This window comes from Homo sapiens, chromosome 4, assembly GCF_000001405.40.
Source record: "Homo sapiens chromosome 4, GRCh38.p14 Primary Assembly".
Classification (NCBI taxonomy): Eukaryota; Metazoa; Chordata; class Mammalia; order Primates; family Hominidae; genus Homo; species Homo sapiens.
The window spans coordinates 174,386,757-174,405,688 of NC_000004.12; the positions used below are offsets into that span (position 1 = coordinate 174,386,757).

General features: G+C 37.5%; 1 long non-coding RNA gene across 3 annotated transcripts in view; it reads left to right on the plus strand.

Moving 5' to 3' along the window:
• Window positions 1–11,630, plus strand: part of LOC105377547 (uncharacterized) — a 43,658-nt gene extending 32,028 nt beyond the window's left edge. For 2 of the 3 annotated variants that reach the window (XR_001741920.1, XR_001741919.1), the window contains 5 exons: window positions 1,821–1,936; window positions 2,595–2,744; window positions 3,717–3,830; window positions 10,753–10,812; window positions 11,599–11,630. This is a non-coding gene — a long non-coding RNA (uncharacterized LOC105377547). Of the gene's footprint in view, window positions 1–1,820; window positions 1,937–2,594; window positions 2,745–3,716; window positions 3,831–9,572; window positions 10,238–10,752; window positions 10,813–11,598 lie in introns of those variants that run through there. The other variant, XR_939487.2, reaches the window with a different exon arrangement.
• The last annotated feature ends 7,302 nt before the right edge of the window (window positions 11,631–18,932 follow it).

Consider the following 18,932-nt stretch of genomic DNA (forward strand, 5'->3'; position numbering starts at 1 on the left):
ACACAGAAAAATGCCACATAACAATGCTACCGTGAGGCATCTAGAGAGTGAATTATGCCTCCTCAAACTCCCAGTCGGACTAATTAAGTTTGCATAACCTGTTTCACCATGTGGCTTGGTTCACAAGGTATGGACTGCTAATGACCAAATGACTTATTAAAACATAAAGTACTCAAATCAGTTAAAAACAATAATAATAAAGCTCAACTTGGATAAATCTACTGGTAAAACAAACTACAGTTTATAGGACATCTGATAGGAAAAATAACAGCTTTTATTCCTGTACATTAGCTGTGAATTGTGATTCCATTTTTGGCTAGATCCTGACTGGAGCATACAGGAAGCATCCAGTAATCAGTTTGCTGGTGGAGTCCTAATGGTAAAAGACAAGGCAGATGAGCTAACGACTGAATTGTGGAAAGGGTCCCAGGGAGACCAGGGCTGCATAGTTCCTGTTTCTTCATTCCCTTTTCTATGTTAAGAAAAGGAGACAGAGAGAGAGAGAGAGAGAGAGAGAGAATGAGGGAGAAAAAGGGGAGAGGCAGAAAGAGAAAGAGAGGCACTGATTGGCTTGGCCCAGGAAATACTCAAGCAGATAATTTTTGGTTATTTCATCTTTTAGATCCCTGTGTCTTTGACTCTTAGAGGATCAGTTGGAGCAAACAATTTAGAAAGTGAACCCACTAAGAAATAAGCTTTAGGCAATGCATTTGGAGCCCATCAGAGAGTGTAACTATTTTGGTAGTAATTATAAGTGCAAAGTGGAAAACTAAAACTCACGTGTCCAGATCTGTCTCTGATTACAAGTCTGAAAGATAGAGAAAATGAGCAGTATAATTGAAAGGCAGCTGGCAAGTGCAGTTTTATTTCCAGATGACGTTGCCAGAAAGCTCCTCTGGTTTAAAAACACAGTCATAATTTTTAAAACAAATCAAACTGTTAACATTTTTTACTTCCATTTATTTATTTAAAAGATAGGAATATAATATATGTATATATGTATCAGGTATACCAACGTGTAATACAGAGGAAATTAATTAATAATATAAAATGTACCAAAGAATATAGAAAATAATACCATGAATACTCATGGCTAGACAAATACTGCCAAGGCTCTTTGTGTTTCCTCAACAATTGCTTCATGACATATATAAGCATTGCTAAATATTACGTAACAATTTTGTATATTCTTTAACTTCATATAAATACATTTTCTCTGTATGTATTTTTCTGTAACTTGATATTATATTTGTAAGAATCAACCATATTAATACCTGTAGCACTACGTCATTTGTTATAATGTCTATTTTGCTTGACATTAATGTAACTATATATAGGTATTTTGGTTTTTATAAGTTAGTATATGTTTTTCTATGTATATAAGTCACAGATTTGTATGTGCTTTTGCTTTATGTATGCCTCTTGCTACGATGTGAATGTTTGTGTCCCACCAAAATTCAAATGTTGAAACCTAATCTCCAATGCAAGAGTATTAAGAGGTAGAGACTTTGGGAGGTGATTAGATCATGAGGGCTCCACCCTCATTAATGGGACTAATTCCCTTATAAAAGAGGCTTGAGGGAGTCTGCCTGGTTTCCATGTGAGGACACCTAGAAAGCAACATCTACGAGGAATGAGCTCTAACCAGACACCAAATCTGCTGGGAGCTTTATCTTGAACTTCCCAGCTCCACAACAGTGAGCAACAAATTACTATTATTTTTTTCTTTCCAGAATAAATTAATTATGATACTACCAGGGTCAAAGTGAATTTGACTTTCAATTTTATATAATCCATCAATGACTATTCTCTTTTTAAAGTCTTGGCAGCTCTTTGGGGGATGGAAGAAGACCATGAAGCTCTAAGTGCTTCAGAGGAATGGGGTTGCCAAAACAGATGTGAGAGGCCCAGAGAGGAGGCTGGGCCAATGCTGAAGGTAAAGATCCAATTCACAGTTCCAGCTAAACTTGACCTTACCTGTAGTTTTAATAAAATAAAGTAACAACTATTTCTCCTAAGTGTTTACTATAGCCTGTGTAAGAAGCAAATATACTGTTGGCTTAGAAAATAATGGGTTATTGTTTTCCTTTTGAACAGTTTTCTTTTTCTCTTTATTTTTCTTACCTCCAAGCAGCACCAGAACAGATGAATTCAGTTTTCTGTGCATGTATTCTCTGGGGAGAGTCAGGGAGGAAATTTTTACTTTTGTAGCAGCTGGAAAGTACATGTTTCTTCATAGCAAGGAAAAGTTGTGTATGACACTTCAAAAGTGGAATCCTTGAGTTCCTGCTGGGGACCAGCATAGCAGCTGCAATGAGATCAAAGTTGCAATAGACCCCTTGCTCAGAAAAATTTAGAAAATTGAATCCCCTGGAACTAGATATTTATTGCTTTATGTAGTTTAGTTCAGGTTGTGATTTCAATGGGAATCTTCAATCAGAACTGTAATGAAGGTTTATCTTCCTTGAAATGAGATAAATCGGCCCAAATCATCCCCTACTTGCATAAACATACAATTTCAGGTAACAGTCACTGGTTGGTAATGTTTCTCTATTTTGTATCTAATGCCTGCTCTATTTGTTCTCTCCTCCTAGGGTATTATTTTGGGGCTGAGTGCAGAAATAAGAGATGCGTGCTAAAAGGTCATCGGTTTAGAACCAGCCCTAGATCTCCTGGGATCCTGCCCAGCTGAATCTTCCTCCTTGTAACATGGGCTTTGGGAATTTGTGAGAGATTTAAATAAAGTAAGAGACACTTAGGAAATGAATTCATAGGGCACTGGGGAAAATGCTGAGCATATAGGGGCAGGAACTATGGTTTGAGCAGAGAGGAACAGGAGATATGGAGATATTTATAGCAATGAGTTGCCACTCAGTTCATATCGGATGACTAAAATGAGGTGTGTCTGCCCTCTGAGTAACCTGAATGGAAGAAAGCCTTTTCACCTTTTATCTGCAGTGAGTAGGTGCTCCATAGAATGTTCAATCAAATCTGAACTGAAAGAAGCATTTTAAATTCACACTTCAAGAGATCACAGAACAAACAGAAATTAGCAAGAGATTTTAATTTCAATTTTCTACTTGTGATAGTCTGGTAAGAAAAAACTATAAAATAAAATAACAACCTATATTCTAGTTAGTCTCAAGCAGAATTTTTGGGGCTTGCTATTGAAAGTTCTATGTAATCATTCTTTATATTAAAAGTATATTTGCCTAGGCTCGGTGGCTCACGACTGTAATCCCAGTGCTTTGAGAGGTCAAGGCAGGTGGGTGGCTTGAGCCCAGGAGTGCGAAACCAACCTGGGCAACAGGGCAAAACCACATCTCTACCAAAAATACAAAAATTAGCTGGGCATTGTGGCACATACCTGTAGTTTCAGTTGCCTGGGAGGCTGAGGTGGGAGGCTGAGGTGAGCCCAGGAGGTCGAGGCTGCAGTGAGCAGTGACCATGCCACTGCACTCCAGTCTGGGTGACATAGTGAGACCCTGTCCCAAAATAAATAAATAAATAAATAGACAAATAAATGTATATATATTGTGTATATATATTTGTAAATATATATATTTATAAATAATTTTTATTTACAAATATTTACAAATAATTAACCCGTGGTCTGATGACCTATTCAGAAACTTGTAAGTGATGTGTTAGCCCTAGCGTTGCTATATCCCTATTTATTTTCTTCTCTTAACCTTCCACACACTGTGTTTTATTAGGATTTACTAAAGCAATGTCTTCAAAGAGGTGTTTAAGAAGGAGAGGTTGGTCGGAACCAGAAAATGCATTCCTGGGATGATCTTTGGGATACACCCAACTGACCCTCTGAAAAGGTCAGCCACATGTATTTAATAATTATACTATATCACCAAACTCCAAAGTCAGGGTGGAACTTATCTACCAAATCTCAGCCTTCCAAGCCAACAGAGTTACTTTCTGATCCCTACTATATATCACACTAGAAAATAAGTATGTAGACCTTATTATCAAAGTGGCTATGCATGCTCAAAACACAAACGAGTTTAAAATGATTTATAATTGTTGAAGCATAAATTTGAGATAATGCTGTCTGTTTTTGAAGGGCTTATGAACTTAGAATTGTTTTTAGATTTTTTAATGGTTAAGAAGAAAAGAATAACATTTCATGACACATGAAAAGTATTTGAAATTCAAATTTCAGTGTCAATAAAGTTTGATTGATGACAGTCACACTCATTCATTTATGAATTGTCTATGGCTGCTTTGTACTACAATGGCAGGATTGTGTACTTTTAACACAGCCTAAAATTTCCAGTATATGGCCTTTTAAAGAAAAAAGTTTGATATTCCTTACTTTATGCCCTTGTCAAGTAGAATCAGTAGAATCCAGGGTCTCCATGGGTCAGATCCAGGTATGGCTATCCCCTGTTCTTTCTTTTGTATAGCAATGTATATAAATGGTCTTTCCTCTGGTCTGTATGGCCAGGAGCATAGCTTGAGTAACCAGCTATAATGTTTTCTGATATTCCAGAATATCAGATAGGAAGAACTCACAGGGACACTCCAAATGTATTCTGGGGGACACTAAATGTATTCACAGGGACACTCCAAATGATATTCTGGATGGGAAGAACTCACAGGAAAACTCCAAATGTAGTACAATCTGTATGTATATGGCACTTCAGTCCATTTATGGACTGAAAAGTTGAGAAGCCTATTTCTGGCATAGCACTATATTCTGGCACCACATAGGCATCATAAAATTTTAACTTGAATTTTGCTGTATTAAGAATACTACCTCTGTGATCTTCTTATTTGGTCATAATTTCTTTGAGTTTTTTATCTTTCAAATAGCTAAGCCATTATTTTGGAATGTTCAGACTTGTAGATTTTTTTTTTTTTCAGTTAATTCCCACAATTCGGAGTGGAATTTGCATGACTTTAGACTATTTAAAGTGATTTCACAGGTTTACTGGGGCATCCAAAGTCAAGTAAAACTGTGCTAACAATATGACATTTTTCCTTTGGAGTTACATTCTGGGGAACTGAAATTCTATTTTTCTATTCCCAGTGTTTTGGGAAACCAAGAATACTGGCTTCATAGCAGCAAAGACAGCGAATAATATTCTGTGCTCAACGTTCCATTGGTCTGAGAGTAAAGGGAAAAGGGTTCAGAGCCATTTCTGCCTCCAACTAGTTTTGTGGCTTTATGCTCCTCATTTAACTTATATGGACCTTAGTTTCTTTTTTAATTGGCAAATAATAATTGTATATATTAATGGGGTCCAATGTAGTATTTTCATATATGTATACATTGTGGGATAATCAAATTAGGTGAGTTAGCATATCCCTCACTGAACATTTGATATCCTCTTTTAACTGTTTTAAAATATATAATACGTTATTATTATTATTATTTTTTTTTTGAGACGGAGTCTCGCTCTGTCGCCCAGGCTGGACTGCGGACTGCAGTGGCGCAATCTCGGCTCACTGCAAGCTCCGCTTCCCGGGTTCACGCCATTCTCCTGCCTCAGCCTCCCGAGTAGCTGGGACTACAGACGCCCGCCACCGCGCCCGGCTAATTTTTTGTATTTTTAGTAGAGACGGGGTTTCACCTTGTTAGCCAGGATGGTCTCGATCTCCTGACCTCATGATCCACCCGCCTCGGCCTCCCAAAGTGCTGGGATTACAGGCGTGAGCCACCGCGCCCGGCCATAATACGTTATTATTAACTGTAGTCACCATGCTATGCAATAGATCACCAGAACATGTTCCTTATGTCTAACTGAAACCCTGTACCCTTTAACCAACATCTCCCCTTTCCTTGTCTACTCCTGCGCCCCAATCATTGCCAACCTCTGGTCCATTCTACTCTCTACTTGAATGAATTTGACTTTTTTTAGATTTCTCATAAAAGTGAAATCATATGGCATTTGTCTCTCTGTGCCTGGCTTATTTCATTTAGCCTAATGTCTTCTAGGTTCATCCGTGTTGTCACAAATGCCAGAATTTCCTCTCTCTCTCTCTGTGTGTGTGTGTGTGTGTGTGTGTGTGTGTGTGTGTGTGTTAAGCCTTAAGAGTATTCCATTGTGTATATATACGACATTTTAAAAATCCATTCATGCTTCAGTAGACACAGGTTTTTTGCATATCTTGGCTCTTGTGAAAAATTCTTCAGTGAAGATGGGAGTGCAGATATGTCTTCAAAATACTGATTTCAATTCCTTTGGGTATATACTGTACCCCAAAGTGGGATTGCTGGATTATATTGCAATTCTTTTTATAGTTTTTTGAGGAAGCTCAATACTGTATTCCAAAATGGCTGTACTAATTTATAATATCACCACCAGTATACAAGGGTTTCTTTTTCTCCACATCCTCGCCAACACTTACCTTTTGTTTTTTTGATCCAATTGAACAGGTAGGTATGAGGTGATATTTCATTGTGGTTTTGATTTGCATTTCTCTAATGATTAGCGATATTGAGAATTTTTTTCTTGTATCTGTTAACTACTTCTGTCTTCTTTTGAGAAATGTCTATTCAGGTTTTTTGTACATTTTTAAATAGGTTTATTTGTTTTCTTGTTACTGAGTAATTTGTGTCCTTGTATATTTTGAATATTAGCCCCCTTATCTGATGTACAATTTGCAAATATTTTCTCCCAATCTGTGCATTATCTCTTCACTCTATTGTTTCTTTTGCTGCCCTGAAACTTTTTAGTTGAATACAATTATATTTGTCTATTTTTGCTTTTGTTGCCTGTGCTTCTGGGATTATATCTGAGAAGTCACTGTTACAGACCTGTCATGGAACTTTCCCCCTACGTTTTCTTCTAGTAGATTTACAGTGTCATGTCTTACATTTAAGTCTTTAATCCATTTTTTACTTTATTCTTGTATAAGAGTGAAATAAAGGTCCTTTTCATCCTTTTTCATGTGGATATCCAGTTTTCCCATTTATTGAAGAGACTGCCCTTTCGTCATTTTGTCTTCTTGGTACCTCTGTCAAAATTGACTGTAGAGGTGTGGGTTTATTTCTGGGCTGTCTATACCATTCGGTTGGTCAGTGTGTCTGTTTTTATGCCAGTACATTCTGTTTTGATTACTACAGCTTTGCAATATATTTTGAAATCCAGTTGTATGATGCCTTTAGCTTTGTTATTTTTGGTTATGAATGCTTTGGCTATTGGGGTCTCTTGTGGACCCATATGAGTTTTACAATTGTTTTTCTGTTTCTGTTAAAAATGACATTAGAATTTTGATAGAGATTGCATTGAATCTAAAGACTGCTTTGGTAGTATAACATTTTAACAATATCAGTCCTTCAAATCCATGAACACAGGGTATCTTTTCTTTTATTTGTGTAATCTTCAATTACCTTCATCAATGTTTTATAGTTTTCAGTATAAAGATCTTCCATCTCTTTGGTTAAATTTACTCATAAGCATTTTATTTATCTATTTTTGACACTATTACAAATGGGATTGTTTTCTTAATTTCTTTTTCACATAGTTTGTTATTAGTATGTGGAAACACTACTTTTTTTTGTATGTTAATTTTATGTTCTGCAACTTTGCTGAATTAGTTCATTAGTTCTAACAAGTTTTTGGTGAAGTCTTCTGAATTTTCTATGTAAAATATCATGTCAGTAAAGAGACAATTTCACTTCTTCCTTTCCTATGCAGATGCCTTTTTTTTTAATTGCCTAATTGTTCTGGCTCAGATTTCCAGTACTATGTTGAACAGAGGTGGTGAGAGTGGGCATCCTTGTCTTGTTCCTGATCTTAGAGGAAAAGCTTTCAATTTTTCACTGTTGAGTACAATGTTAGCTGTGGGCTTTTAATATATAACCTTAGTTGTTTTGAGGAACATTCCTTCTACACCTAATTTTATCATAAAAGGAAGCTGGATTTTATCAAGTGCTTTCTCTGCATCAAATTGAGAAATCATACACTTTTTGTCCTTCATTCTGTTAATATGGTGAATCACATTTATTGGTTTGTATATGTTGAACCAAACTTGCATTACAGAGATAAATCGCACTTAATCATGGTGAGTGATCCTTTTAAAGTATTGTTGAATATGGTTTCCTCGTATTTTGTTGTGAAATTCTGCATCTGTTTGTCAGTGATATTGGCCTATAGTTTTCTTTTTTCATAGTGTCTTTGTCCAGTTTTAGAGGAAGAGTAATGCAGCCTCATAAAATGAGTTTGGAAGTATTCTTTCTTCTTCAGTTCTCTGGGAGAGTTTGAGTATAATTGGTATTAGTTTTTAAAAAATATTTCATAGAATTCAGTTATGAAGCCATCTGGTTCTGGGTTTTTCTTTGATGGGTGACTTATAAAGCCTGATTTAGTACTCTGACTCATTATTGGTCTGTTTAGATTTCCAGTTTCTTCATGATTCAGCGTGGTAGGTTACATGTTTCTAGGAATTTATCTATTTTTTCTAGGTCGTTCAATTCATTAGTGCATAATTGCTCACAGTAGTCTCATGATTCTTTCTCTTTCTGTTATCAGTTGTAATGTCTCCTTTTTTATTTTAAATTTTATTTATTTGAGTTTTTTTTTTCCTTAGTCTAGACAAGGGCTTGTCAGTTTTATTTAGCTTTTCTAAAAACCAATTTCTTAATTTTATTGATCTTTTCTATTGGTTTTCTAGTTTCTGTTTTATTTATTTATGCTCGATCTTTGTTATTTCCTTCCTTCTGCTAACCTTGGGCTTAGTCATACTTCTTTTTCTAGTTCCTTAAAGTATAATATTAGGTTGTTTATTTGAGATCTTTCTTCTTTTTTTGATGTAGATGCTTATTGCTATAAACTTCTCTCTTAGAACAGCTTTTAACATATCCCATAAGTCTGGTATGTTGTGTTTCCATTTTGATTTGTCTCAAGATTTTAAAAATTTCTCCTTTAATTTCTTCTTTAACCCAACAGTTTTTCAGGGGCATGTTATTTAATTTCCACAAATGTGTTCATTTTCCATGATTCCTCCTGTTCTTGATTTTTAGTTTCATACCACTGTGGTCAGAAAAGATAGTTAATATAGGATCTTAGTTTTCAAAATTATGAATCAATGTAGCTTGACTAGATGACCTTGATGGCCACCTACAACTGTAAAATATAATGCTCTTATTTTAACTCACTGAAGATTGCCCTCCTCCTCCACTGAATTGACTCAGAATACTTAGGATTTTGTCAAGTTATATATTTGCTGCCTATCTATCTGAAATTTAGTGGAATTTTGTTTTGTTTTTAATGCAATTGAACTATTGCAATGAATAGATATAATGGAAATTTTGTAGTGAAATGTTTTTCACTACATTTAAAGAAAAGTCACTGGATGGCAGTTAATTATATAAAAGTACAAAGACAGTAATAATAAAATAAGTAAATATAAGATAACTAGCTGTATGTATATAAACTAAGAACATTCTGATGGTAAAGATGGGCATGAGTTAAAAAAATTTCTAGGCATTATATTTAAAACAATCTGCCTGCACTGATCTAAATAAAAACAGCTTCTCAAACTTCCATCTTCTTCTATATCACCATGTTTCAGGATTAAATTGTTGTTGTATTTTTTGACTATTAAAGGCACAACATTTGTCAACTCAACACTCTTCAGACTTTATCAATAACAAAAAGTTGCTAATGCTTGATGAGATGATGAGTGAGAAGGTGGGAGGCAGAAGCAGCCAACAGAGAAGACAAAGGATCTAAGAAAATGAGAGAGAAAGAAAGGAGAAAAATATGTAGAAATTTCAAGTTGATGATAACATTCTAAGACCAGATGAACACTTACTTTATTTTCTGGAAAAGAATCATTGACCTCATGAAACACATTGTGAATGTGTTTTTTTCTTCCTGACTCAACCTATGAACAGGACATTGAATTCAAGATTGACTACAAAGTTAATAATTACATAAAATTATATAAAATAAAAGTACGAAGGCAATAATAATATAAGTAAATATAAGATAACTATGTATAACTATATGTACAACTATATATACATAGTTTGTAACTATGTCTACAAGCTGAGAACAGTCTGGTAGTAAAGATGTGCCAATATAAGAAAGTTCTATTTGATGTTGACCATGACAAGGCACACTTCATCCCGAAGGCATTTTTGACGGTAAATCTAAACAGCCTGTTTTCTTTTTCAAAGAGTTTACTGGTGAGCAGCCAGACATTTGAAAATAGTTTCTGTTTTTCCACAGCTTGAAGATCGAATCAGAAAAAGTAGTACAATCATTTTGAAAATAAATATTTTTAAAACAAATCTCTTGGACGATGATTTGTTTTATATAAACAAATTATATGTAATATATTTTTATTCCTTCTCTATATAAAAATACTTACTTTAGGCATTTTGCTATGTTGTATTAAGAAAATGTCTCCTCCACCCCACTGCCAAGGGGCTGTTTCTTTCAGATGAAAAGGTTGTTCTTTTCTTAATACTAGCTAGGTCACTTTGGTAGTTTGCTGTCAGGACATGAAGTATTATTAGTGTTCTCTCACTTGCCAATGAAGGTAATTTTGAATGCCTCCAGTCAGCATTTTGTTTTGGAAAGAAAATTGATTCAGGATCTAATGCTTGTTGAGATTATGGGAATAATTCACCAATCTGTGCCTCGTCTAAAAGGAAAGCAGTGGACATAACTTACCATTGTCCATCTTTAACATTTTATGATTGGAGTAAAAACCAGAGAGAAATGATGTAATGCTTGAGGCAAATTATTACACTCAAACTCTTTCATGTTGTATCTCTAGTACCCTAAGGATGGAGCTGTCCATGACTGTCAGCTGACAGTCACATTATTGCCTTGTAAGGTAAGAAAAGGTTACTTTATTTAACTTCTATGAACCAGGATATGCATTACTTGTTAAAGATACAAAACCAAATAAATTGTGACTCTTGTCCCTGAGCAAGTGTGGCAGTATTTGCAGATGAAGTTGTAAACAGAGTTAAACTGTTATATAATAGTAAATAGAAAGCATACATTCAAACGAAATTATTCAGGGATTGAAAATATTTGCTGATTATATTAGTTTCTTATTGCTGTTGTAACAAAGTACCAAAACTTAGTGATTTTAAACATCACAAATCTATTATTTTATAGTTCTGAAGTCAGAAGTCAAAATGAGTCCCAACCAGGCTAAAATCAAGGATTTGGTCGGGCTGTGTTTCTTTCTACAGGCACCAAGGGAATTCATTTTCTTACTTTTTCCAGCTTCTAGAGGCCACCTGCACTTTTTGCTTCATGCTAGCCCTCTCCTCTCTTCAAAGCCAGCAATGAACAGTTTAGTCTTTCTCACATCATGTTACTCTGACACTGACTCTTCTGACTCCTCTTTCACTTATAAGGACTCATATGATTACCTATCACCCACTAGAAAATCCAGGATAGTCTCCCCATCTGATATGGTTTGCCTATGTCCCCAACCAAATCTCATCTTTAATTGTAGCTCCCATAATTCCCACATGTTGTGGGAGGGACCTGGTGGGAGATAACTGAATCATGGGGGTGATTCCTCCATACTGCTCTCATGGTAGTGAATAAGTCTCACAAGATCTATTGGTTTTATAAGGGGAAATCCCTTTCACTTGGTTCTCAGTTGCTCTCTTGCCTGCTGCCATGTGAGACGTGCCTTTGCCTTCTGCCATGAGTGTGAGGCCTCCCAGCCATGTGGAACTGTGAGTTCATTAAACCTCTTTTACTTCATAAGTTACCCAGTCTCGGGTATGTCTTTATCAGCAGCATGAAAATGAACTAATACACCTTCTCAACATTAATTTATTAACAATTTTAATTCCATCTGCAGCCTTAATTCCTTCTTGTCATGTAACATAGCATATTCACAGTTTCCAGGAATTAGGATGTAGACATCCTTAGGAAGCTATTATTCTGCCTACCACATTGATGGGACTATAAATCTTGGGTTTTCATGTAGCTTTCATGACCAATTCCAGTTAATCTTACTCATGCAATGGTCATTTAAAAACATGCAATTAGTTCCATGAATTTGAAGTCCTCACCAATCTGATATGAGCCTTTAAAAATTCATCCAGAACAGAAAGGACAACTGGATTAGAACATTGCTGGCATGGCTTTTATGAGAACTGCGTGCCTATAGTCCCAGTCTGTATGTTCAATTCTGGTTCATTCTGACCGTGTGTTGCTTCAGTATGTACAACTCCAAGGAACTGATGTTTTCTTAGCACCATCTGTTTATTACAGATTATGAGTCATCAGTTGGCTCCCAGAACCTTAAGGCCTTAGACACTTTAATATTAATTCATAAGTCTTTGTGAGTATGAACCCTGAAAATCTGAGACAGGTCTCAGTTAACTTAGAAAGTTTATTTTCCCAAGGTTGAGGATGCATGCCCATGACACAGACTCAGGAGGTCCTGATGGCATATGTCCAAGGCGGTCAGGGCTCAGCTTGGTTTTATACATTTTAGGGAGGCATGAGACATCAATCAATATGTATAGGATGTACATTGGTTCAGTCTGGAAAAGTGGGACGACTTGAGGCAAAGATGGGACAACTCAAAGTGGGGAGGGGGCTCCCAGATCAAAGGTAGATAAGAGACAAATGGTTGCATTCTTTTGAGTTTCTGATTTCTGTCACTCAGGCTGGAGTGCATGGCCTGACCCCAGCTCACTGCAATTTCTCCCTCCTGGGTTCAAGCAATTCTCATGCTTCAGCCTCCCAATAAGCCGGAATTACAGGTATGCGCCACCGTGCTAGGCTAGTTTTTGTATTTTTAGTAGAGACGGGTTTTGCCATGTTGACCAGCTGGTCTCAAACTCCTGGCCTTAAGCAGTCTGCCTGCCTCGGCCTACCAAAGTGCTGGGATTACAGTTGTGAGCCACTGCACCTGGCCAGTGGAAACACATTTAAATGCTCCTCTCTTTTGAAAACAACAGTTATTTTTTTGAACTGTAAAGGAAATACTTGTTAATTATAGACATTTTGAAACAATTCTAAAATTCAAAGAATTAAAATCATCCATAACTCTTTTACCTACTTGTAGTTAGGTTTTTGTTATATTTTCTCTCTAGTCGGTAATAATATTTTCTTGAATGATGTGAAAAAATCAGTAGTTCTTGGTGTTTTGTGGTTTTTTTTCATTATTTATAATTCAATCAGCCTCATTTTACCAATTTATTTCCAACTCAATAAGGAGTTGAAAATTTTATATACAGCTAGAGCCTAAAAATGATAAATCCAATTTTCCTGTCTTACAGAAATTTGGAAATGGAGTTTACATAAGCATTACCTTTCTACTCTTCCTAACCTGTAGGGCCACTACATGGCATCTTTTCTTTTTAATAAAAAGGAAAGAAAAGTCTAAGTATTTATTTAGAGCAAACATTCTGTTAGCCATGGGAAAATGAAAGGTTATAAAACACTTGTCTTCAAAGAGTTTATAGTGCAGTTGTATAGGAAGGCACACCTTCAAAGAAAATGTCAATGCAACTGGAAGATGGGCTCTAAGGACCCAGCCTCTCTAATGGAGGAGGTAACATTGCCCAAAGAATCTCTTTCCAGAGAGGATTAAAGCTTCCTCTCTTTGGTTATAAGAACATGGCAGGTGCCAAGTGTTCATCCTGGAGGGTCACCAGAAAATGATGGGCCGGTGAATCTGGAGAAGTACAAAACTGGGTCAGGTATAGTCAGTTCCTGAGAGAATCATGGTACCATTCACCAAGATAAGTAAATCCCAAGGAAAGTGGACATTATTTTTCTGAAAAGGAAAATGAATGATTTTTTCTGGACATGATTGACTGTGATCCTGTGGTGATATCCTGCATCAGGTATCAAAGAATCATAAATCAATGAACAATTAATATTTGAAGGGATTTTAGAGTCAATTATTGTGTTAAAATTTTTTCATTTTAGACATAGTGGAAGATAAATTTCCAAGAGATTTAATAATTTTGCAAATGCCACCAAACAAGTTGGTTGTAGAAGTGGGACTAAAAGATAAATTCCTTCCTTTTATGCTACCAGTGTGGGGAAAAGAAAGAGAGATCAGATTGTTACTGTGTCTGTGTAGAAAGAAGTAGACATAAGAGACTCCATTTTGTTCTGTACTAAGAAAAATTCTTCTGCCTTGAGATGCTGTTAATCTGTAACCCTACCCCCAACCCTGTTCTCCCTGAGACATGTGCTGTGTCAATTTAAGGTGAAATGGATTAAGGGCTGTGCAGGATGTTCTTTGTTAAACAAATGCTTGAAGGCAGCGTGCTTGTTAAGAGTCATAACCACTCCCTATTCTCAAGTACCCAGAGACACAAAACACTGCGGAAGGCCACAGGGACCTCTGCCAAGGAAAGCCAGGTATTGTCCAAGGTTTCTCCCCATGTGATAGTCTGAAATATGGCCTGGTGGGAAGGGAAACACCTGACTGTCCCCAAGCCCGACACCATAAAGGGTCTGTGCTGAAGAGGATTCGTAAAAGAGGAAGGAACGCCTCTTTGCGGTTGAGATAAAAGGAAGGCTTCTGTCTCCTACTCATCCCTGGGCAATGGAATGTCTCGGTGTAAAGCCCGATTGTATATTCCATCTACTGAGATAGGGGAAAACCGCCTTAGGGCTGGAGGTGGGACATGCTGGCAGCAATACTGCTCTTTAAGGCATTGAGATGTTTATGTATATGCACATCAAAAGCACAGCACTTTTTTCTTTACCTTGTTTATGATGCAGAGACATTCGTTCACCTGTTTACCTGCTGATCTTCTCTCCACTATTATCCTATTGTCCTGCCACATCCCCCTCTCCGGGAAATGCCCGATAATGATCAATAAATAGTAAGGGAATTCAGAGGCCGGTGTCAGCGTGGGTCCTCCGTATGCTGAACGCTGGTCCCCTGGGCCCATTTTTCTTTCTCTATACTTTGTCTCTGCGTCTGTTTATTTTCCAAGTCTCTCGTTCCACCTGATGAGAAACGCCCACAGGTGTGGAGTGGCAACCCACCCCTTCATACCAGCACATGGGAGGTATCAGAAATCCTGAGTTTTTGTTCTTTGTTCTTTGGTGATGGTGGGTTCAGTTGTCTCAGATAATCTCAAAAGGGAATTTTGGACAAGGTAACCCCCAACATTCTTTCCAGCTTTGATAGTCTGCTACCATCAGATAAGCTCAGGAGAAATGAGTCTTGCGGAAGAATGGATTTGTAAGCACTGAGAATGTTTAAGATCCCTGAGGGAAAAAATGATGACAGGGATCAAGATATCAATGATTAACCTTTGTGCTACTCTTTGATATACGGTGTGGAAGAAAGAAGAGAAACCACAAAGGACACCCACAGAGAAGTGGGTAGTGAAGTAGAAGAATAGGAATAGGCCTGGGACTGAAACAAAAGGAGGGGCTGAAGAAGGACTGATTAAATATGGCAAATGCCACAGACATCAAGGCGGATGGGAACTGGGAAAGGGCAACGAGATTTTATAATGAGATTGGACAACAAGAGTCTTTGTATATAAAATATTTAAAGTACATTGATTAAATTATCTATGAGAAGATGGATACAAAAGAGAAAATATTGAATGTAGGTAGTTGGAAGATATATAAGAGTCAGAGATAAAGTGTATAGAATTGGGCAGGCTATAAGCCCAATTGCAGGCAGAAGAGATGAAGAGCAAGAGATTGAAGGTTTGTGAAAGAGGATTTGTCTGATGGCATGAAGTTCCAGAAGAGGTGGAAGATGGGGAATACCCTTAACACAGATAGAGAGGCTGATTTGGGCAAGGAGAAGGGCACCTCTTCCTCTGAAAAAGGAGTATAGGAAGAGTAGGCACCTGAAAACACAGAGAAATTTAGAGTTCTGTGGACACAGAGCTGGTTTGAGGTGGGGGAAAGAGTATACAAAGCATTTTGTGACAAAGAATTTGTCTTCTTAGTCATTATGGTGGCAACGCCCAGGCTGAGTGGTGAGACTGAGTAGCTGAGGACTGAGCAAAAAGATCCAAGCAGGGGCTGGAGGGAGAGATCCACAGAGAGTTAATAAAAGAATGGGGAGCTGCTGTAAAGTTAGGTAGAAAATGTTTCAGTGCTTCTCTGATGCATAATTTTATGACCTTGATTTTAATGTTTGGAGACTGAGGGTAGAACTGTAGAAAGCAGGTTTCCCAGGGCTAGGGCTTAGCAGAACTGAAAATTAAAGGATAGAAGCTGCCGGGGACTCCAAGCAGCTTAAAGTTGCTGATCATGTGTCTCAGGCTGAACAGTGAGGTGATGAAGTGGTAAAGGTACTAATGAGCTAGATAAACTGGTGGGATTAAGGGGCTGGCCCTCACACTAGGGGAGCAGCAAGATCAGTAACATGAGGGAATGGGAAATGCTAGGTCAGAAAGTCGTGGCTGGAGAGAAAAATAGTTGAGTGAAAGGAGGAAGCAGAGAAAATGGCTTATGAAATAACAGATCTCTGACCCTGTGGAGCTCACATACCATCGGAGAAACCATCAGTAAACAATAAAAATAATAAATGAGAAGATTACTTAGCAGTATGAGGAAAAGGGGAGAGGAGAGCAGAGTAAGGGAGATTGGGACTGCCAGGGGAGGGGGACGGGAAGGAAGTTTTCACAGTGTGGTTGTCAGGCGTCACTGAGGTGTGATTTGAGTAAGGATGGATGGAGGTGAAGGTGGTCCAGGGCAAGAGAGTTCTAAGAAGAGTGGGCAGCGTGGAGTGTGCGAGGCATAGCAGGGAGGCTGTCCACTGATTTTTGCTACATTGTGTTGCTGGGCTTGTGCCTTCTCTGAGCTGCAGAGCTGTGAATCTCTGCTTTTATGTCGTGACTAGAGCTTGGAATGGTGCATGCTCTGTCCCGGATCCCTTTCCTCTACGTAGTAGCAGTATCCACATTGTTGTTTTTGTGCCTTACTTCTAAAATACAAGAGTCTGTATCGCAGGTATTAGGTGTGCAAGTTCCTGGCTGTGAAAAAAAATAATAATTTTCTACCTAATCTGATCTTAAGCTAGAGGAATAGACTCAGAAATGGAGCAAATGAATCTTTACCCTTTTGCGATTTGGATATTCAGAAGAATAGACTTTTATCTATTAAAATGTTTCACTGAGACTGTAAGTCTTTATTGGACAGTAGGGGTTTAGAATTAATAGAATCACCCAAAAGATCTCAGTAACAAAATACATTCTTAGTAACTGATATGAGAATTCTTCTGAGGAAAAAATACTTGCTGTTAAAATGCCTGGCTGGATAGGCCCTGAGGAATTCATAGATTTTGACGAAGGCTTTGGATTATGAAGTTATGAAATTGAGGGGTTGAGTCAAGACTGTTAATTTCTTCAGGAGTCAGAGAGGCTTGATCTTGGATCTGAATTATATAGGAGTTAAGAGTAATTTGGAAATTGATTCAAGTCAGAAAATATATTAACAGTGGCTATTCATTTGTTATGATTATGCACATTCTATTATGCATTGCTGACATTCAAAGAGAACCACCTGACATGGAATTTTCCCTTAAGCACAAGAATTCTTTCGTAAATGTTCCCTAAGTATCTATAATAATGAAACAAAGAGGATTTCCAAAGATCAAACAAACTTTTTAATCAACAATTAATCCCAGGAACAAGTTGTAAAAATACATTCATTACAGGAAAGCCACGTTTACCTTAGCATTCTAACAAATAATTAATTTGAAATAGAGTTTGAGTAAATTTGTAATCAAAGACAAGAACAAAGCCCAGAAGTCAGGGTGTGAGTGACAGTATTGCTTGATAAAACTCCCTGGGATTTCTGTAGTCTGTTACATGTTTGTTTATAGGAGCTCAGCTGAGAATGTTCAATTCATCAAAACAAAGTTATCTTTCCAAGATGTTCTTATAAACGCCATTAAGACCACATTGTCTAAGATGAACTCCTGTCCAGACAGAATTGGAAACTGACATGTAATTTTCCAACCCATATAGCTAGTGAAGTTGGAATCTTTTAATGTAATTTCTATTAACTGGTGACTGCCAGGAGATTATAAAGAATTTATGTTCCCAGATAATATAAGTGCTCACAACTTCTGCAGGGAAATCTCAAATCATACTCATTTACTGTATCATGGTCTAGGCCGGAAGGTTATCTGTCTTCAGTAGCCAATATTCAAGGTAGCAGTTGGCTTTGTTTTTGCTTTCTCTCTTTAATGAGGTTGCTCAGCTTAAAATGTGTGTCCCCACCCCTCCCCTCTACTCCCTTCCCCTTCCCTCCCCTCTCTTCCCCTCCCCTTCACTCCTCTCTCCTCCCCTCATCTTCCCTCCCCTCCTCTTCTTTCCCCTCTCCTCCCCTCCTCTTCCTTCCCCTCTCCTCAACTCTCCTCCCCTCCTCTTCCTCCCCCTCTCTTCCCCTCTCCTATTCTCCCCTCCCCTCCCCTCCCCTCCCTTGCCCTCCCTTCTCCTCTTCTCTTTCAGTTCCCAGGGAGGTAGCAAAAACACTGAATTTCTAAACTGCCATCCTAATTGATAAAGTTTAAAGTCCAAGAGCTTTAATGTGCCACTGTGTTCTTCTGAAACCCTGTTTGTAACATGTCAATAGCTTTTTGATGCTCTTAAGAGCTCAGGGAAAACACATATGATTCTTCTATCTGTCAAGCGTCACCTTCTGACAATCTCACCTCACACACCAAGCATCATACGAGGGAGGAGGTTGAGTCAGGAAAAAATTTCTGGTGGAAGATATATATATATATGTGTGTGTGTGTGTGTATGTGTATATATATGTGTGTGTGTGTATATATATATATATGTAAAAGCTAAAAACCAATGGATGAACAGAAGCTACCCAGGCAATGAAGACAGCTAAGAGTGTTCTGGAAAAGGGGAGAGATATCAAAATAATTTAAATATGGATCCTATGGATCCTTGTAATATAGTTCAGTATGGATCATAGTAGCACATTAAAGCTCTTGGCTGCATTGTAGTGAATAACCTAGGG